Here is a 21,401-nt window from a genome sequence, read left to right as displayed (position 1 = left end):
GACCACGGATATCTCATAGGAGGCTATGCCACGGCCGTCTTTGTGAAATTACTGCAACCTTCTTGACAGTGAAATATTCTATCCTTCAACAATTGCTTTGTGGGCAGGTAACCAAAGGGCTAATATCTGATGTGAAGGCTGGATCATGAACCTCCCGGTTGGGTTCTACATGTACCTTACCTCAACATCCGGGTCAACATGAGTGGAAGGGGCTTGGTGCCTCAGTTTCCTCATCTATAACATGAAGAATTGGTCTTCACATCTCTGAACCTCTTGTCAGCTTTTCAATGCCATAATTTATATCAGTCCCTGGTGCTTGATCAAATTTAAACGGTGTGAATTCCAGACAAAGAAAAATTAGACCTCCAAAGAAAATATGGGTCTACAGAGACATATCAAGATGTTATAAATATAATGTGATGATGATAAATATGCACTGCTGTATCAAATTCTTAAATAGAAAAGGATAATAACAAAGTAAATCAAAACTTTTTAGAGAAAACTTCGTTTCCTAGGATAGATGGAGTGACAGGTCCCAAGTGATGTGCCAACCTTTTTTCTCCCAAGCTTCTTTGAAGAGATTATCTAAGTATCGTTTCAGACACCCATCACCCTTATTTTTAGCTCTGAGTTCTCTTCACGAGTGTGGTGACCTGTGGCTCTAAGTTCCAGAGGCTCCCAGATATGGCACATGACTCATTTGCAGGTACCCTGCAATGATTTCCAGGAAGGTCAGTGGGGTGGGGGCCTGGAGAAATGATTTTTGATGTTAAACCCTTAGCTCTTGTTCCTGTTCCAACCACTTGATCAGAAATGACACACTTCATAAATTGATCCCTTGGTGCCATAAGCAATTGGCAGTGCAAATAGAACCCAAGTGATTCGGTTCTCCAAGAGGCTCACAGCTGGCTGGGGGGTTGGGGGAGACAAAACTCAGGGCTTTGGTCACAGTCTATTTTCAGCCCCTGATAGCAGTTGTGTTACTCACGTCTCATTCACCCTCTCCCTTGGCCTCCCTCCTGCCCTTCCCCCAGCAGGCCAAGGCTGGTGACAGCCTTCATATATTTAAAGAGGACAAGAGCCCCTCAGACTCAGTTGAGCTGAACGGAGTCCACACAGGCAGGTGAGTGGAGCAAGGCAGACATTTGAGCTGGAGGTGGGTTGGTTCTGTGGCTGGTTTGGACTATAAAGGGTCCCATAGAGTAAGAGCACATTTTACGTCTCAAGTGCCAGCACCCTCTCTGGTTCTGTGCAAGGAGGCTCAAGTTGTACTTGACTCTGGTGTGGATCTAGCAGGTATTAAAAAATTCCTGCAAGGATGGTTAATATTTAGGGGGCTTAAGGGACCTCATAGGCAGATAAATGAGTAAAGAATTATCCTCATTATAAAACTACTTACGTGGTGGAATTACATTTCCTGTCATCTTAGTTGGAACAACTGGAAAGCGGGAGGAAATAATGGAAAGTCTGCTGACCTTCTCGTCTTACAACCACCATATAATTCATGGATGACAGACTTTGAGAAGGTTCCTGCCCTCAGGGGCTTGGTCTCCTCTTCTGCAAGGATCAATACAAATTGGCGACATTTTTTCCAAACTGTAAAGTACTGCACAGATACAAAGCGATAAGCGATTGTACTAGATGCAATATATAAGACAGCTTTCCCATGCTCAATTTACCTGGAATGGTGTTATTCAAAAGGTCGTGGTGAATGACTGAGATTTTGGGCTTGTTGATTTTAAATAGACTTTTGTATCCCAAAGATATTCAGCAACAAGTTTGCTTTTAATCTTTTGAAATTAATCAAAACTGGACCCCAAAAAGACATTGCTATGTTGAAATATATTAAAAGCTCTATTAAATGGGAGGATAATTTATCCAGTGGTTAGGATTCCCACTGTTTCCTCTAGGTTTTAGTCAAGGACTTTTTAAAATATCCCAGTGAATGACAGACATAGGTGTGATTGAGAATAAGAAGAGGTTTTAAGCAATGGTCTGAGTGGAAATGCTGCTGAAAGATCCAAGCTGCCGACTCTAATTTCTGCCCTGTTCCTGAGCCAAGGTGGTGACTCCTCCAAGAAGGAGGAGTTGAGTTACTGGTCTGAGGAACCTTGTCTCTGCAATACGATTCAATGTAATTTAATAAGCATGTATGGACCATCTCCTATGTCAGGGCTGGAGGGAGGTAGAGGCAGCTCTATGCAGGGAAGGGTATAAGTGAACAGCACGAAGAGTGGGAAATTGGGGATGGCCTGTGTCCTCAGTTTACATCTGGGATTAAATCTCAATGCTGGGTACATACAATTCATCACAATGCATGTAGAACTGCTTTATGATCCAGAAAATGTGAGGGAGTCTTATGACTTGGCTTTGTTCCCTTTCTGAACAACTCAGTCGTTTGTGGTCAGTGGCAATGAGCCCAGGCTATTGGGCAGGAGGTGTAGCTGAGCCCCAGGGCTTTGTGTCCTCCCTGGGGTTCAGGCAGACAGGTGCTCTGCAGCCCAGACACACGTGTCATCCATCAGAAACAGGAGACACAGGGCAAGGGGCCTCCTCCTTCGAAGGAGAGAAGGGGGGAAGGAAAGAGAGAAGGAGGGAGGGAGGAAGGGAGGAAGAGAGGAATGAAGGAAGAGGGAGCTGCAGCAGCATTCAGCCAGCAAATAGCCAAAATTCCCTTGGAGGAAGTGGAGACAGAATCTTGATAGAATAGAAACTCAGAAATCCTGGGATATTCAAGAAGAAAATAAAGATAATCAGTTATAGAGCCCGTTCAAATTATAGCTCTGAATATCACTTAACTTATCTGAGTTTCCATTTTCTGAACAATAAAACTAAGGGTAGCCTACCTCTATCAAAGGGACTTGTGAGAATTGAATGAGATAAAGTATAGGAAAGTACTTTTGTAAAGTTTAATATAACCGTACAAATATGTGAGAACGTTGAGAAAAGGCATACAGCCAAACCCAGTGGGTTTTGGGGGGGTTTCCTGCTAAGTACAAGCGTGCTGATAAAAGTCCAGAGGTCAGAGTGGGTAAGAAGCTGACCAGGAGTTAGAAGATAATTAATTTGTTTTACAAGAGGAAAGACCCAGGGCTAGGAATATAACACACAGGAAATACAAGTCTTGAGGCAGACAGATTTCCAGTTACAAGTGTGCTGTTCAGATATCTGTGAATAAATACTGTATAGAGGGTTGGGCTTCATGCACAAAGAGAAATGTGATGCCTGCAAATGTGAAAAACTGCAGTTATTCATCCCAGTGAAGAATGGCAGGAAGGGAGACAGTAATGGTCTTAAAGGGCATTGAGGATGGAGCCTTTTCTGAGCTTTACTGTGGGAAAGGGTTGATCATGATTTGATGGTCGTTTATGGCCTAGGCAGGCATGGAACGAGTACTAGCTTATTTAAGGGTCACAAAAAGTTATGCAAAACTCATTTTTCAGAGGAAGAAACTAAAGTTCTAGAAAGCTTAGGAATTGCCCAGCATCACATGGCTGAGAAAGCGGCAGAGCCAGGAGGTAAACTGGGATATGATGTGGTCTTTAGAAATAAATTGTAGAGGTCAAAATAGAACAAAGAGTGAGTTTTGGGAAGTAAAAGCTGGCCACGCTTCAGATATAATTTCACAAAAGGTGTAAGATGCCCATGTTCTACAGCCTTCATTTAATGTATGTCTACCATGTCTGAGTTTAAAAGGGGCTGAGAGCCAACACTCAGGTTTATTTCCATGCTGGCAATGAGCAACCTGTTCTTCCTGGGCTCTGTGAAAGGGCCTCTGGCCGGAGGACGTCATATATCTGGGTTCAGAAGCTCAGGAGGAAGCAGCCACTGACCTTGAATGTCCTACACCGAGAACTGAAGGGCATGAGCTCCCCAGACTACAGGGCCCCTGGCTAGGCATGCTGCCTCCAACCCAATCCAACAACGCAAGGGGACCGACTCTCACCCCGACCTGGGCACACCTGTCCTGGGGCACCGCACACTCCAAAGGCTGAAAAACAAAGCTGATTCACAGTCTGAACCAGAAGGGCCATGGAAAACAAGCAGGGAGTGAGTTGTTTGTTCTAAAAGAACAGACTTGAAAACTGGAGATAATGTAATAACAACAATAATAGTCATGATGCAAGTAACTACAATTATTCAATTCCTGCTATGTATTAAGTAATTCTATATGGTGTCTTAGCTATTATTATCTTCTTTAACCTGAAAACAACCTTCCCAGACAAGCCTTCTCATATTGTCTTTACATGAGGACATGCATTGAGGACACTGGGTCAGAGAATTTGAGCAACTTGCCCAGTGTTCAACAGTTAGTGTTTCTGAACTTAAGCTTGGTTCTTCCAAAGCCCATGGTTTTCACTGTGGCTATGTCATCTTTCTTACCCAAATTAAGAGTGAATAAAGGAGAGGGTTTGAGAGGGCACCCCATTGGGCAGCTTTTCTGCAAAGTGAGGTTTCAATCACTTTTCAGATCCTTAAATCTGTCTCAGGGCTTAAAGGACCCTTGAAGGGACTTCACTGTATAGCAGCCACTTGGACATCCGTCCCCACCTCAGCTGAAAATCAATAGTGCAGAAGAAATCTCCAGTTCCAAGGAAGCCCTTTCCATGTTGAACAGCCGTAACTCAGAAAGTCATTGATTTCAGTGAATGAATTCAGTTTCCCTGTTAGTCCCACCCTTGAATACCCTCTGTGTCCCATGGAGAGACAATGGATTGGTCACGTCTCAATTCCCATCAACTGGGAAGTCTGGGTGATGGAGGTGCTGACCCTTGTCCTCTCTCCAGTGTTATAAACAGGAGCATGAGATACAGAACCAGCTTAACGGGGGGTTAAATGGCAGCTCTTCCAATTACTAGCTGTGTGACCTTGGAAAAGCTACTTAAGCTCTTCAGTTCTCTTATCCATAAAAATGGAAATAAAATTTGCTCTGGGCAGCTGTTGTAAGTATTAAAAAATAATATATGTAAAGCAACTGACATAAAATAATATATGTAAAGCTTTGGAGTCAGAGAAACGTAAGTTCCAATCTATTCATGTGACACATATCAGTCCCATGAACTTGGACTAATGTAATTTCCCAAAGCCTCCATTTCCTCATCTGTAAAGTAAATGTTATAATAGCACCTACCTTGAAGGGTTGTTGTGAAGATTAAACGATACCCAAGGGCAGTGCTCCAGGCATGTTAACTTCAATAATAAAGTTAGAAATGACTATTACTATCGCTTAGATTCCATATATATATATATATATGTTCCTATGATCCAAAATCTTTGCTTCAGCCAGTGTAGACAATTGAACTCACTGCAGGAAATCAGGCATCTAGTAGGATGACCAACTGAGCTAGCACTGAGCTGAAAACGGTGGCATTGTGGCACTGTGGCTTGAGGTCTCTGCCCAAAGTCATGGCCTAAAGTTCCCTCCTGGGTGCTCATTTTATGTACCCACCACTTTTGCCCTAACTCATCATTGCTCAGCTTTATAGTTGGTAGTGAAAGAAGAAAGAAAGAAAGAAAGAAAGAAAGAAAGAAAGAAAGAAAGAAAGAAAGAAAGAAAGAAAGAAAGAAAGAAAGAGGAAAAGAGGGAGAGAAAGAGATGGAGAGAGGAAGGGAGGGAAGGAAAGGAAAAAGGATGGAAAGAAGGAGGGAAGGAAGGAAGGAAGGAAGGAAGGAAGGAAGGAAGGAAGGGAGGGAGGGAGGGAGGGAGGGAGGGAGGGAGGGAGGGAGGGAGGGAGGGAGAAATAGTTGGATTAGGAAGAATGTGCCCAAAATACACAGTTTAGTTATTCTTTTGAAAATTCAGATTGATGAATAACAACTTAAAATTGTGGGAGAACCTAATTGGTTCTCACATTTTATATTACTCTACAATTTACAGAATGATATGACAGTACTTGAACTAATAGGGTCCTCTCAGCAATAGTGAAATCAAAAGGATTATTGCCCTCATTCTAGTGAAGACACTGAAGTTCAGAGAGATTGAACGGTTTTCCCAGATCACACAGCTTCGAAGAGGCAAAATGGAACTAGAACTCCAGCCTCTGGCACCTGATCCAGTGTTTTTCCCACTGCCCCACTGAAGCACATTCCTAGTATAATCTCTTCTATGGTATTAGTTACATCTTAGTTTAAAAGTGGGCACAAGGTAGTCTCTCACCGGGATCTGAGTATCCAAATCTGGAGTCCAACCTCTTCCAAGTTGATGTCACAGGGCTGTCCATTCTATCTCATCCTCGTAAATTCCAGACTGTCCCCCATTTCAATCTTGACCCACGATTTGTCTTTGACAACATAGTCATCTCAGGGACTGGCCCAGAGAGTCGTGCCAGGTGGTATGATGGAGATTGTGACCCAGGTTACAAACAGGGCCGAGTGACGGGCAAGCCTATAATTGTATCCCACCTTCAATGACCCTTGCCAGTACCAGGCAACGCTGATAAACAAATGGCCCATCCCTTGGTACCTTGCCAGGGTAAGCTCACATTCTGGGAGTGTCTAGGGGAGTGTTGGGACACAAGAATTCCAAAGCAATGCGGGAAGCTGAAAAGGTTATGTTCATAAGCCAGGACCTAACTGGGATTTCAAATCATAGCTCCTTAATTAGCACATTGGTGCCATTTGAGTAACCTAAAGTGAAGTGGGAAAAAATAATTTCTCAATACTGCTTTAAATTCCATCATATTTCCATGACCTTCACAATGGTCCTGCCCAGGAGATACTATTATCAACATTTTTTACCCGAGTTCAAGGTCGAGATTAGAATCCATGTCTCTGGATTCCGAATGCCTTTTTATTTATTTATTTACTTATTTTTTCAGATGGAGTCTCACTCTGTCGCCAGGCTGGAGTGCAGTGGCGCAATCTCAGCTCACTGCAACTTCCACCTCCTGGGTTCAAGTGATTCTCCTGCCTCAGTCTCCTGAGTAGCTGGGACTACAGGTGCATGCCACCACGCCCAGCTGATTTTTGTATTTTTAGTAGAGATGGGGTTTCACCATGCTGGCCAGGATGTTCTTGATCTCTTGACCTCATGATCCATTCGCCTCGGCCTCAGTCCTGGGATTACAGGCGTGAGCCACCATGCCTGGCCTGGATTCAGGATGCTTTAAAATATCCTCTACCTTTTGGCCTGTGAGACATCTTCTGTTTAGCCTCCATGGTTACATTCCCATCTTCAGAAATGGAACTGAGCATCATTAATAGAGTACTTACAGATTTATATTTTAAATTTCAAGTCCTGATGATATATGTCAGATATTTATGATCGCTTAAAAACAACCAGTGCTAGGATACATTAGTTTGTGAAGGAGGTATTATCTGTAATCCTATTCTCATTTTGAAAAGTATGCCTAGGCAATGAATCCACACACACACACACACACACAGATATATATGTATTTTTATCCCCCAAGAGGTATCTCTGTCTCCTATTAACTTGCAAGACATGCCAATGAAATCTCCACTGCAAATCTGAAATGAGAAATTTGACCTAAGGTTGTTTTCATTGAAAATTTCTATATCATTAATTTTACAAGTGTCGCTGCCATGTTCCTGGAGGAAATTTATTATATTTCTCCTCTATTTTGTATCATGCTGAAACTCAGGATCAAAATGAACATGAGCAAAATTATGTGAGTCTATTCTTTTCTAGAAAATGTAACATCTTTAATGAGAGAAGAATGGATTGTATAAAAAGAAGTTGGCTAAGAAAAATATCCCTAAATGCTTACTTTTAAATACACCTTGGTTATAAATGAGAGGGTCCAGCAATCTTAAAAATCTATTCCAGCCCTGAAAGTCTGTAGTTTAAATGGAGTCCAAAATAAACAAATTTGGGCTATTTTAGAGGCTATTTAGGCCTCTACGCCTTTCTGCTTGCTCTTTTCTCTGCATGACTTCATTAGCATTATTCCTTCCCACTTTTCTGTATCTGGTGAACTCCTATTCACCCTTCAAACCCCCATTTGAATGTGATCTCTTCTGTGACCCTCCAACAGTTCACTGCCTTTATCCCCAGACTAAATGTGGGGAGCCAGTCCGTCATTTGAGTTTCTGTAGCATGTCTCACAAGACTCTTCTCTGGTACAGAGCATTCTGAATCTTGTCTATTTTTCTCACTACAACATGGGCTTCTCAATGCCAGGGGTCACAAACTACTCATTTTTATAAGTTTTCCCCCTTTTGTCACTGAGTACTTAGTGCAGTACTTGACACATGATAGGCAGGTAGTAAATGCAGGGTGAATGAATGAATGAACGAATGAATGTGAGTTTTAATTCTAAGTCTTTCAACTCAAAATCCATTACTCTTTCTAGTTTCCTAAACAACCCGAACTACAGAAATAGAAAAACCACATGCTTCCATTTTTTAAGAAATTCTTATTTATTTATTTTAGAGGCAGGGCCTCACTCTGTCACTTAGGCTGAAGTAGAGTGGTGTGATCATAGCTCATTGAAGCCTAGAACTCCTGAGTTCAAGTGATTCTCCTGCCTCAACCTGCTGAGTAGCTAGGACTGACTACAGGAGCATGCCACCACACCAGGGTAATTTTTTGGGGGGTGGGGTAGAGACAGGGGCCTCACTATGTTGCCCAGGCTGGTCTCAAACTCCTGGGCTAGTGATCCTCCTGCCTTGGCCTCCCAAAGTCCTGGGATTGTAAGTGTGAGCCACCATGCCCAGCCCAATGTTTCCTTTTTTAAAGTTCTTTTCTAAAATTTTACTGAATTAGCAGAAGATCCTACTTCTGTGAGAGGAAGGATAGGATGTTCCTGGCTAACCTCACAGTTTTTCTAAGCAGGAAAAGCTCTTTGGGGGAATATTTAGATAGAAACATTCCTTCTAGACCTAGTATCAGGTTCAGTGGTCTGTTTGCTATTTACTTTCTGTTTCTTAGCAAAAAACTGCCTTTGTTATGAGACTGTGAGATACAATCCGGACCAGTTGACCCAGGAGGGCTTAGTGTTAATCGCCAACTATTATAAGAAGGTGACTGGCTTCCCAGAAGGGAAAGTGAAGGTCACAAGCAGCCACTCAGAATGGCTGGATAGTGCTCCATGTCATGACACACTAGGCTTCTTAGAAACCAGAGGATCCCAGTGAAAATGCAGCTCCCCTGGGCAGCTGAATTTCAGAAGTTTCATTTAACATCAATGGCTTATTTTAGTTCTGCTTTGAGGAAACTGAAAACTTGGATTCATACTAAAAACATATGCAGATGAGGACAATTATTATTACTATTTTATTTATTTATTTATTTTTTGAGACGGAGTCTCGCTCTGTTGCCCAGGCTGGAGTGCAGTGGTACAATCTTGGTTCCCTGCAACCTCCGCCTCCTGGGTTCAAGTGATTCTCTTTCCTCAGCCTCTCAAGCAGCTGGGATTACAGGTGCCCACCACCACACCTGGCTAATTTTTGTTTAGGCCGGGCACGGTGGCTCAAGCCTGTAATTCCAGCACTTTGGAAGGCCAAGGCGGGCAGATCACTTGAGGTCAGGAGTTTGAGACCAGCCTGGCCAACATGGTGAAACCCCGTCTCTACTAAAAATACAGAGGACAATTATTTTTTTAAATAATTTTCTTTGGTTAATATCTCTTAAATGTAATCCTGTGGTGAGGAGACAATGACAGTCCTGGGGCTGTGGCTATTAGCAGCTCCTTGTAGCTGAATGTCTCCAATGGTGCAGGAGGACATGTCAGCACCATGGTCTGGCTCCTGTTGAGCACTGTGAACTCTGTGGGACCTTCCTGCACATCATGTCGTTTGATTTTCTAAAGGACACTAAAGCAGCAGGGAAAAGAATAACTGTATAGGTGGGAAAACAGGTATAAAGTTAAGCTATGTAGTTCATCCTGATATGAACAGCAGGTAGAGGGTAGCCCTGAAAGCAGAAAGCAAGTTTCCAACTACTGACCTAGTGTAGTGCCAATATATCTTATAGCCTAGGTGATTATATTCTTAAAAAGGAATGTATGGATATGAGGAATAACTTGGAATAGGAGATTTTATATATTATTAATATGCTTTTCTATCAGCAAGATAAGCTAAGATTTTGCTACCCAAAATGTAGTCCACTGCCAGCAGCATCAATATTGCCTGGAGTCTGTTAGAAATGCAGAATTTCCTGCCTCTCCCCAGATCTACCAAACCAGAATCTGCATTTAGCAAGGTCTAAGGTGATTTGAGAAGCTCTTAGCTAGACAAGAAGAAAATACCATCTTCACAGATGATTCCCAGTTCTGATGGGATAATTTTTTAAACTTGAGATGAAAAAAAAAACGATCTTTGTATATACTTTTATGTACATGAAATTAGCCTATTCATTCCTTCCGGGAGCCCTGTGAGATACATAGGAATAGATGTTACTGAAATTTAACAGGAGAAGAAACTGAGTTCCCAAGTGGTAAAGTGATTACCCAAAGCCATCTAAGTGTCTGAGCTTATTTAATGACTAGCACACAGTAGCTGTTTGCTAAATGAATGAATAAATGAAACACTAAAAAAAAATTGGGCTGGATCCTGGTCTTCAGACCACTGCACTCTTAGAGATTGGTTCACTCCTGGGGCCACTTCAATGTAGGGTATTTGCTTTATGTCCCCTTAGACTTGACCTTGACCAGATAGTCTTCAAGATGCCAAACTGGGGCGGAGGCGCAAAATGTGGAGCCTGTGAAAAGACCGTCTACCATGCAGAAGAAATCCAGTGCAATGGAAGGAGTTTCCACAAGACGTGTTTCCACTGCAGTGAGTTGGGTGGACACCCTGGGGGCCCCTCAGCATCCGGACAGCATCACAAAATTCACATTGAATCACAAACACTGTATGCCAGTGGTTCTCATAGTGTGGTCCTGGGACAAGCAGCATCAGCATTACCTGGGAACTGGTTAGAAATTTAACTCTTGGGCTCCACCAAGAAAAGATGGTGCTCTCCTGAATACCCTTGCTTCAACTGCTTGCCCAGCTCAGAGGCCATTCATTTTCCTGTAGCTCAACGTCAGAACAAGCTAGCCTGTCACTGCTCTCTGTAGGGAAAACTTTGACCCCATGGCGACATTGACAACATGTGACTTGGCAGAGAAAGGAAGCCAGCACTTATCTGAAGCCAGGATGGATTTGGCTGTCTATGTTGCCCCTTCTGGTCAGCTGTGACTGAAGCCAGCTGTGACTGGTCTTGTCTGAGAGAGAACCTATGTCAGGCAGGGGGGCAACACATGCCAACTCTGTATGTAAGAGTCAGAGAGGGAAGCATTTCAGGGCCTGGGCACCAGTAACTGCATGAAAGAAATCCTGACCATTACCCGCCAGACACTGACTCACACATGTCAAAAATAGGGAGAACCTTGAGACCTTGTGGCTTGAACCTTGAGAACCTTGAGAACCTTGAGACCTTGTGAGTCTGGTCCTGCCTGACTCACGTGACTTTCGATAAGTCATTTCTCACATCTAAGCCCGGGTCATGTGCATCTGCGATAGAGTCTTATACATGAACCTCTACCTTTAGACTCCATGTCCAGTGCTCTTTGACATGACTGCATTCTATACTGTTTCCTGGCAGCTAGTCCTGTTTGGGAGAAAATTGGCCTTGGTTTTAAAATGGCCACTTATCTTCTCTGCTTCTGTCCAGGAGGTCTGGCTTAAGGGCTAGCTCTGCTGGATATTTGGCGAGCCCCCTCCCCGACTAGTCCCCACAGCCATGCCAGCACCCCCATGCTTCAGCCCGGTAGCTGCAAGGCATCCATGCAATTGAAAAGAACTCCAAGGGCTGGACTCCATCTGTTGGGGCTTTTGTCCAAAGAGAGCTAGCATTCTTTAAAAAACAGGATTAGGAATATTAGAAAGAATTCTAGAATTAGAGTAAAAGGGATTCGGGTTTGAGTCTGGGCTCTGCCATGTACTCACTGAGATTTTGGGCAGGTCATTTCACCATGGTGAACCTCAATTTCTCCACTTATAAAACAAAGATGATTATACCTACTGCACAGGTTGTTACAAGGAGAAAACTGGGGGGTCTTGATATGGAAATCCAGCCTTCTAGGCCTGTATTCTCCTTTGATCAACTTTGGTAACTGCGTGGGAACAGGAAATTGTAGGGAAGCTTTCCTTAGTAGAGGGTGTCTTGTCTTTCCCAGGTAGGAGGAAGATGCCCTGTTCAAAGGAGTTATAGTAGAAGAGATTTGAGCATTTTTTGGTACATCCCTTTTAACCCTTTGATATTTCCTGAGAACCCTTTGATGGGATGAGGATTTGAGCAGCATACATTTCAGGAACGATGGGTAGAAGAGCCCCAGAGAGGAGCACACTTTTCTATATTATTACCACAAGATAATCACCTGTCTGTCCGCAGGCAACTCTGTAGCTGCTGGAAAAGGCGTTCAGAGACGCAGGGTCTACCTTACATTGTGCCCAGGCCAGTGTTCCCCTGACTTCTAGATAAATCTTCACAATTAAATCTCTAGACTAATCATGAAATCTAGAAAGTAAGTTTGCTGTCCAAAAGAAATAAATATAATGCAGCAACATATGTAAATTTAAATGTTCTAGTAACCATAGTTTAAAAATGGTACAAATAAACAGATGAAATTAATCTTAAAACATTTTATTTAACTCAATATATCCAAAACATTATAATTTCAATGTATACTTCAATATACAAATGATCAGTGGGATATTTTACATGATTTTTGCGTTTGTACTGAGTGTTTGAAATCTGATGTGCATTTTGTGCTTACAGCACAGCATGTGGCTGTGGCCACAGCACTGGACAGCACAGTTCTCCTTTGTCTGTTCACAAAAGCTCATCAGAAGCCAGGGAGTGGCTACAGAATTGGCCAGGGCACCTTAGGGTATAGGCAGTCTTGGAGTGATGGGAATGAGCACTGGACTAGGAGTCAAAAGAGCTGAGGTAAGCCGTGGCTCTGCAACTTACTATTGTATAATTGTGAACAACTCACTGATTTACATTGACACATTCATTCATTCATTCATTCATGTACTCAATAAATGTTTACAGAGGACTAATTCTGGCCCAGGCCTTGTGCTAAATTCTCGGAATATTAAGACAAAACAGGCTTGCCCTCAAGGAACTCAGAGTCTAGACCATCAGCAAATATGCAAGCAGTTGTTGTGGAGGTTGGTAACTGACAGTAACAAGAAGGGTAGAGACAAGTGTACACACCTTCTATGTCTCAATATAAGGCATTCTCCCCCCAAATTCATCTTCATAAAAAAGATATGCCTTGTGTTTAAAGCCTTATAAAGTCTCTCCTGCTGTAAGACATTCTTCCAATTATTTTATTTACTGATTTAAACTTTTTTTTGGTACAGATATTTTTTAACACATACAATGTTGACAGAATAGTCAAATAAAGTCCCAGAATAAACTCCCTTGCCCCACACTCATCAGCCCCTGGCTAATCCTACCTCATCTACAACCTTATCTTCTTCCTCCACTCCCATATTCAATTACTTTATCTTTTAAAAAAGATAATATCATTTGAAGAAGGCATATTAGCCTGAAATAACCTCATTCAATGCTGGATTGCTTATAGGGATCATTTGATGGAAATGTTTTTTTAAAAGGCAAATACATTTAATGCACACATATTATTATTCCTGGGGATATTATCTCCCTATTATAAGCACTGAGCATCACTATAAACAACCTTTAAGAATCATTGTTGCAAAGCAATGTAGCAAGTCATTACATGGTGGAAATTCTATATCTTTTAAAAAATCTGCCCTAATGCTATGCTAATAGGTCCTTCTTGTTGAGATGCAATTTCTAGGTGACAACCTCCTACTCAGGTATAAAACAGGGCTGCCTCTTTAAACGTACAGATAGAAGTGAAAGTGAGCTGCTCAGAAAAGCTGGGCCAGCTGCCCCCAGAAATGATTCTGGTGGTGAGGGAGATGCCGATGTTGAAGATGCAAAGACAGAATTGGAGATAATTATTCCCCAAATTTATGTGGGATTAGAAAAAAGTAACCTTTCCAAATCAATATATTGTTGATTTATATTACTAAATTAAAATTATAAGTAGATATTTGACATTTTTATTTATATCTTTAAAAGTTTCCTTTTAAATTTGCAAAATAAATCTTTCTATAAATCCTCTCTTTGGAAAAATGAGGGCTTGATTGCCTTATACTGGAGGATACTTTACATTAGGTAATATACAGTAACCAGGGGGCTTGAGCCAATAGAAGCCTAAGGAGTTAATAAGGCAGGTCTACCCCCTTCCCCACCTCCTCTGCTTCCAGAATTTGACCAAAATTAGCCTCAATGGCAATTGTCTGCTTGAATATCACAGTGTCCTTCAAAGGCTGTGGTAAGTACAGAAAGTGCTCAATCCTGATTCTTTTATGATTAAGAAAAAAGTAAGTTTCTCTCCTGCCTTAACCCACCCCCTGCCAACGCGCGCGCCCACAAACACACACACACACACACACACACACACACACACACACTTCCCTGATGTCATTTGGGAAGACTCAGGGATGCAGTCCTTAGCAGGTCTGAGACTATATATCTCGTTCTAATGCTAGCTTCCACCCTTTTCCAGCTGGGAACCACTGAACCCAATTTTGTCATCTGTGAGATCGGGACTGTCTTGGAGTGCACAACTCAGGGCAGATACTCTGGTCAGGAATCAACATTGTATTCTTGGCTCAGGGGCCCCTCATGCTGGGTCTCTGGCCCCGAGCATGGCATTGGGAGTGCAAAGAAGGGGAGAAGGATTTCAATTCCAATCCCATGACCCTTCCTTTTCCTGGCAGTGGCCTGCAGGAAGGCTCTTGACAGCACGACAGTCGCGGCTCATGAGTCGGAGATCTACTGCAAGGTGTGCTATGGGCGCAGATATGGCCCCAAAGGGATCGGGTATGGACAAGGCGCTGGCTGTCTCAGCACAGACACGGGCGAGCATCTCGGCCTGCAGTTCCAACAGTGAGTTACTGCCCTGCTCCCCCTTGCCTGTTAAAGTCTCCAATTATCAGGACAGTTCATTTCGTTCCCATAGCAACGTTTTCTGGAAGTGGGAGAATGGACTCTATTGTTGACTTGCCAACAATAGGAATACTCAGTCTGACCAAGTTTGAACAATGTGTCATCTCTCCAAAGACTCTCTTTAAATTATTTGCCATTCTAAAGGGCAATTACTTTTACACCATGGCTCTTGGTTTGCATGTCAAGAGAAAACCCAGGATGTACAGATGTTCCATTGTTTGACCTTTGCAAAACTGCATGGAGTCTCCTTTCTTCCCCGTTGAGAGTTTCTGTGTAAATCACACAAATATGGCAGGGCAGCAATGGCCATTCTTTGTGTGCCTGTCATGAAAAGATTTCTTCCCTTGGATTGTAAGATGACAAACGTCCACATGGCAGGGGGAGTGTGTCTGCAAGGATGGGCTGTGCCTCAGAGTAAACAATCAATCATGATTTTTCTGGGGGTTCCCTGGCTGCCTGTTGCCAATACAGTGCTAGAGTTCCCGCCACATTATCCTAGGGAAGCTGGGACATCACTCTGGCCACCTCCATCCACCAGTCTGGTCCCCTGGGTCCACTTTCTTGATAACCACATTGACCTCCAGCCCAGAATTGAGGAAAGTCTGATGGCCACTGGCCTGACACTACTCTCTGGCCAGCTGGCCTCCAGGCTGAGCTCTGCACTGCGACTGGCCAGAAAGGCCCAGCCCAACCAAGGAAGTGTCCCATGGAGGGCCTCCCCCAGAGAGCACTTCAGCCATCTGAGGAATCAGCTGATCCCTTCAAAAGAGAGTAAGCCACAGGAGAGCATGGAAACGTGGAGAGATGTGTGATTAGTCATCTTAGAGAGAAGACTTCTTTTTGTTAGTTTGTCTTATTACTCAATCTCAAATGGAGACTCTTGTTAAGGAAGAAAACATACCACTGCATTCTCTGCCTCACATTGACTGAAGTTCACTTTTCAACATTAGGGCTTCCTAGTGATGCTGCACAAAGAGTAACAAGGTCTGAAGACCTAGGATTTCCTCCTAGGTCCATCATTCATGAGCTGCCTGGCCTTGGGCAGTCACACTCTGATCCTCACTCTCCTCCAACCAGCCCTGCCTACCTTATAGGGTTGTGGTACAGCTCAAGTGATATAATATACAAGCAAACACCAAAAGATACCAACACATGAGAGGCTATTATTATGTCTCTATTTTGGACATTGTTCTCCTGGGACAGGTGACCCTTGGAGGCAGGACGACAGCCTGGCTTGTGATAAGGAATGCATCAGCTCATGGACTGTGGTTCATCAGGAACTGATTAGCACCCATTGTCAAAATCCCACCTTGCTCTGTAATTTTCACAACTCTCTTTAGAAAGGAAAGAAGTGGCCTTGCAAATGGTCCAGAAAAACACAAATAAGCACAGTAGTAATAACAACACAACAACAACAATAACACAAGCTAACATAACTAGAACATTTGCTAAGTGCTTCACAACAAAAAGGAAAGCTCTAAACCCATTTTAGCAAACATTTATTAGCCCTTACTACATGCCAGGCGGGCACTGTTCTAAGTGCTTTACAAATGTCGCCTCATTTAACCCTCTCAACAACGCTATGAGAAAGACACCATCATTATCCCCATTTTCCAGATGAGGAGTCTGAGACACACGGAAGTGAGGTCACTTTCTCAAGGCCACACAGCTCTTCTACTCTTTGCCAAGGGAAATCTACGTTTCATTCATTCGTCTATTTCCAACAGGTCCCCAAAGCCGGCACGCTCAGTTACCACCAGCAACCCTTCCAAATTCACTGCGAAGTTTGGAGAGTCCGAGAAGTGCCCTCGATGTGGCAAGTCAGTCTATGCTGCTGAGAAGGTTATGGGAGGTGGCAAGGTAAGACCTTCTGTATGAGCCAGACAGAATTTGCTCATCTCCACCAGGCCATTTGGGAGGAATGAGAGAAAAATTGGGAGCTGCAAGCAGCTGTCATTCTCTCTAGCTCCCAGAACAACTTTAGAAACCACACATCCTCAGCCACTTTCCCAGGCTGGGGCTGTCTGTCATCTAGCATTGCCCTTTGAAAGCTGGAACTGGTGCAGTTTGAAGCAGCAAGCATTATTCTACTAGATGGAAGGCACCCAGCTGAAAGTTCTGGGATACAAAGCAAAAGCCCGTCTACCCTCCAGTGTCCACAATCCCCCCAAAAGATGTCAGCCCCAGACCAACCACTGCCTAACTCAACCTGTTGCTGCCACCATGACCAATGGATATAGCAGACGCCTCACAGTAGTGAGAAGCATCCTCACTTACGAACTTCCTGGCTCTCAGGAAAGTCATCAGATGTCCGAGACACTCATGCATATGTGCTCTGCAAGTTCCAGTTTCAGGCCCAAAGCCTGGGTACTCACCAAAGGAGTCAGACCTGAGGAAAGAGAAAAATTATGTTTATACCACATGGTGGGAGGAAGGGCCGTGGGGAGCATCTAACTTCAAACACAAGGGCAGGCTCCACCCTAAAACTGGCCATTTGAAGACATAGGAGAAGCCCTGGGCTGTACCTGGTAGACACGCAGATGTGCAGGAGGATGGAGATCTAGAACATCGAAATTATGCAACTCTGCCTCAGAATTACACAGAGGAATTAAACCAGAGAGTTAAAACAAGGTTGAATTCCCTGAACAATTGCCTGATTTCTTTATTTTTTTTCCTTCTGTAACTTTATACTCAACATAAACATCACCCAGTGCCCCCAGCCCAAGTCCTTCTCTGACCAGTTTGTTCCTTGGATCTTTTTGGCCTGGGGAAGCCCTTTCCCGTTTAGTCTATTCTGAAGGAAAACATATGCAAATCACCATGACAAATCCATTTTCAGGCTTCTGAGAAGTGCTGGCTAAGGCCATAGCATCTCATTTTCTCCAAACCCCTGGAGAAATTATGGGGCCCATTAGGTAAGCAAATGGTTAAGACGTGTCACTCCTCTGGATGCTGCTGGTCAGGGACTTGAAATGGAAACAGAATGTGTTGCCTACCTCATTAAATATGCAACTTTTCTGTGCCCCTCAGCCTTGGCACAAGACCTGTTTCCGCTGTGCCATCTGTGGGAAGAGTCTGGAGTCCACAAATGTCACTGACAAAGATGGGGAACTTTATTGCAAAGGTGAGTGATTCTGGAGACTTTCTTGAAATATGTTTTCCCTAAAAGGGCCCTTGGGAGAGGAAATTACGTTCATGCCTGGAGGTCTTCCCGTGTCTTCCAGGAGGTATGGCTGCTCAGCCTGGGCAGCGTTGGGTTCTCAGGAGCAAAACCACCTAAGGGGAGGGAATCTCCCACCTGACCCAGCTCTGGTCCTCTCCACTGGAGCACCTGGCAGAGACCAGATGCTTTCAGATGCTCAGTGGTTCGGGAAGTTAGGCACCTGGGGGAGAGAGGAAGGGAAGAGGAGGAAACAGTGCCCTGCCTCTGGTCTTGGAAGAGGCCTCAGGCCAGGACAACTAACACCACACCCCCTTCCAAAAATCGAAACACCATCTGTTCACCTGAGTGGCAGAGGGGGTGACTGGAGGAGGGTGAACTCAGTTTGGCCTCACTGGAGTTTATCATGACATGTCTATCTCCCTCCTGCCTACCCCGCACTAACAGTTCTGTTGTCGATGTTGCACGTTACTTAGTGATCATAGGGACAGATCTGGTTTTCCTCCTGGTCCTTGCAGCTCTGACCCTCGCTGCCTCCATAATCCCTTGGTCTTGTGGAGAAATAGTAGAGGCTTAGCTCCTTCTTGACACTATCAAAGGAAGGAATGCACTAGGGCCAAGGCAATGCGTCCTCCACCCCTGAGCCTAGGCCTATTCTGTTGCTCAGTGGAGTTTCATCACTTAATGATGGTGTCTCAAGAATCTCCAAAGGAGTATGTTGGAATGAAGTGAGAGGAGCAATGGAAAGGGAGTTAAGAGAGAAGACTTTATAAGTCATAACTGTACTTTGCTGTATTAGTCTGTTCTCATGCTGCTAATAAAGACATACTCAAGACTGGGTAATTTATAAAGAAAAAGAGGTTTAATGGACTCACAGTTCCACATGGCTGGGGAGGCCTCGCAATCATGGCAGAAGTCAAAGGAGGAGCAAAGTCACACCTTACATAGCAGCAAGCAAGAGAGCAAGTGCAGGAGAACTGCCCTTTATAAAACCATCAGATCTCGTGAGGCTTACTATCACGAGAACAGCACGCCCAGTGATTCAATTATCTCCCGCTGGGTCCCTCCCACAACATGTGGGGATTATGTGAGCTAATCAAGATGAGATTTAGGTGGGGATACAGCCAAACCATATCAGCTGCCAAAGCTTTTCCTGTGATGACACAGGATGGGAACTAGCTCACTATCTGACAGATGATTGCCGTCTCCTGGCAGTAGAAGACCTACGGGGTCCTCAGCCTTCATAGCTCATAATGCCCTAAAATATTGCCGAAGTCAGTAGGGAAATTAACATGTAAATGAATAATTGCATTGCAAAGTGAAAAAAAAAGTCTATAGTAGAGAAACATTCACAATGCAGTCACCTAAAAAGAGGAGAGGAACCAGCTTGGGGTAATGGGGAAAGCTTCTCACAAGACAGGCTTCCTCTGAGGCTTGATGGGTGAATGTGGGTTTGGGAGGGGGCATTCCAGGAAGAGGGATCATTGATTACAAAGACACTTAAGCTGGGACATCATGGTTCATTCCAGGTACTGCAAGTGGTTCTGTGTGCCTGGAATGTAGGAAGGGAGGCAGAGGCGGGAGGCAACAGGGGACGAGGTTGGGCAGGCAATCCTCAAATGAGAAAATATCTGCAAACACATTTAGTAAAGTGGCAAGAAGTGTAAACAATTTTTATTAACAGATCTAAGATAAGTATTGTTAAATTTATTTTAAAAAGTTAGCTCATGCATAAACCTTTTTATTATTTTTATTCTTGAGACGGAGTCTTGCTCTGTCATCCAAGCTGGAGTGCAGTGGTGTGATCTTGGCTCACTGCAACTTCAGCCTCCCGGGCTCAAGCAATTCTCCTGCCTCAGCCTCCCCAGTAGCTGGGATCAGAAGTACATGCCACCATGCCCAGCTAATTTCTTGTATTTTTAGTAGAGACAGGGTTTCTCTATGTTGGCCAGGCTGGTCTCAAACTCCCGACCTCAGGTGATCTGCCTGCCTCAGCCTCCCAAAGTGCTGGGATTACAGGCATGAGCCACCGTGCCTGGCGAACTTATGCATAAATCTATCAAAAGGATGTCTCTAATAATTAAAAGGACTGTGCTCAGACAGAAAGCCCTGAAAAAAATGGCACTAACCAATGCATTGTCTCTCCCTTCATCCTCTTCTCATTCACAGTTTGCTATGCCAAAAATTTTGGCCCCACGGGTATTGGGTTTGGAGGCCTTACACAACAAGTGGAAAAGAAAGAATGAAGAGGTGCGCCGTTTCTCAGATTTTTTGCGAGCCTAAAACACTTGCCAAGTAATCCTGCACAGATCGATACCTTTCCCCAAATAGCCTCTCCTTTGTAGTCGTACATTATGTGTTTCTCCTCAGAAGTGATCAGGTCTTTACTGAATGTTAGAAGAGGCCTTTGGAAGAAAATTATGTAAAGTTTAATCTATAACAAATGCTTTATTATTTATAATGCTTGGAATGGGAGAGGCAATAAATAAATGTTTTAGTGCTATCTTGTATGGCTCTAGATCTTTTCTTTGAGATAGAAATTTTCAAAAACATAAAGCTAGTTCAAAAAACGAGTTGCAGAGCATATAATAAATTTGGATGTCAACTGAGAAAGGAGTGAGAAGGAAGAAACAATGCGCAAAGGAAAGCAGTCTTTCAGAATCTGTCAGCCAAGTGTCTTTCTAGTTACTGCTAATGGAGAAGAAAACAGGGGGTCTGGGAGAAAATAGAGAACATGATAGCAAAATCTAAAAGGAAAATCAAAACTAATAAAATTGCTGAAGAGTTGATCCCTTTGTCCTATCGTGGGGCTTTGTAATGTTACACATCTCGTGAAAACTCAGAAATGACAATAAAGCGTGGCATTTGCCTCTGTATTATAAATGACATGAGGATGATTTTCTTTTATTCTAGGACAATTCCCTGGGGTTTAGCAATTTTCTTAAGACTTCTACGTCAAATTTGCCAGCCTTGCAAATGAAATGCAGCCAATTAGAAATGTCTTTCTCTGCCTCTTCAGCAAGTTTCAGCAGCTCAAGCACTTCTTGGGCTTCTGCTTTTAACAACCACAGCACTTCCCCCAGCACTGTGCAATTCTGAATTATCTGGAATACATGAAACAAGTGAAAATCTAGTGATAAGAACTATAAAATACTTGGCTAAACCATGGGTTTCTCCACCCTCCAAGTCCCCTGGGAAAGGCTTTCTTTGAAATGAGCATCTATTCAGTGCTGTTTATGT

General features: G+C 43.5%; 1 protein-coding gene and 1 long non-coding RNA gene across 3 annotated transcripts in view; one reads left to right on the top strand and one right to left on the bottom strand.

Moving 5' to 3' along the window:
• Nucleotides 1-6,364, bottom strand: part of CSRP3-AS1 (CSRP3 and E2F8 antisense RNA 1) — a 116,546-nt gene extending 110,182 nt beyond the window's left edge. The window contains exon 1 of the long non-coding RNA NR_183675.1: nt 6,158-6,364. This is a non-coding gene — a long non-coding RNA (CSRP3 and E2F8 antisense RNA 1). The remainder of the gene's footprint in view (nt 1-6,157) is intronic.
• On the top strand, nt 1,094-21,047 carry CSRP3 (cysteine and glycine rich protein 3). Of its 2 annotated transcripts, NM_003476.5 has the most exons (6): nt 1,094-1,123; nt 10,601-10,740; nt 14,773-14,941; nt 16,729-16,861; nt 18,032-18,125; nt 20,331-21,047. In NM_003476.5, the coding sequence occupies exons 2-6, from the start codon at nt 10,629-10,631 to the stop codon at nt 20,405-20,407; spliced, it is 585 nt and encodes a 194-aa protein (NP_003467.1). In that variant the 5' UTR covers nt 1,094-1,123; nt 10,601-10,628; the 3' UTR covers nt 20,408-21,047. The 2 variants fall into 2 exon arrangements, with proteins under 2 accessions (NP_003467.1, NP_001356333.1); NM_001369404.1 differs by lacking the exon at nt 14,773-14,941.

This window comes from Homo sapiens, chromosome 11 (genome assembly GCF_000001405.40).
Source record: "Homo sapiens chromosome 11, GRCh38.p14 Primary Assembly".
Taxonomy (NCBI): domain Eukaryota; kingdom Metazoa; phylum Chordata; class Mammalia; order Primates; family Hominidae; genus Homo; species Homo sapiens.
This window is presented reverse-complemented; position numbering and strand designations above follow the sequence as displayed.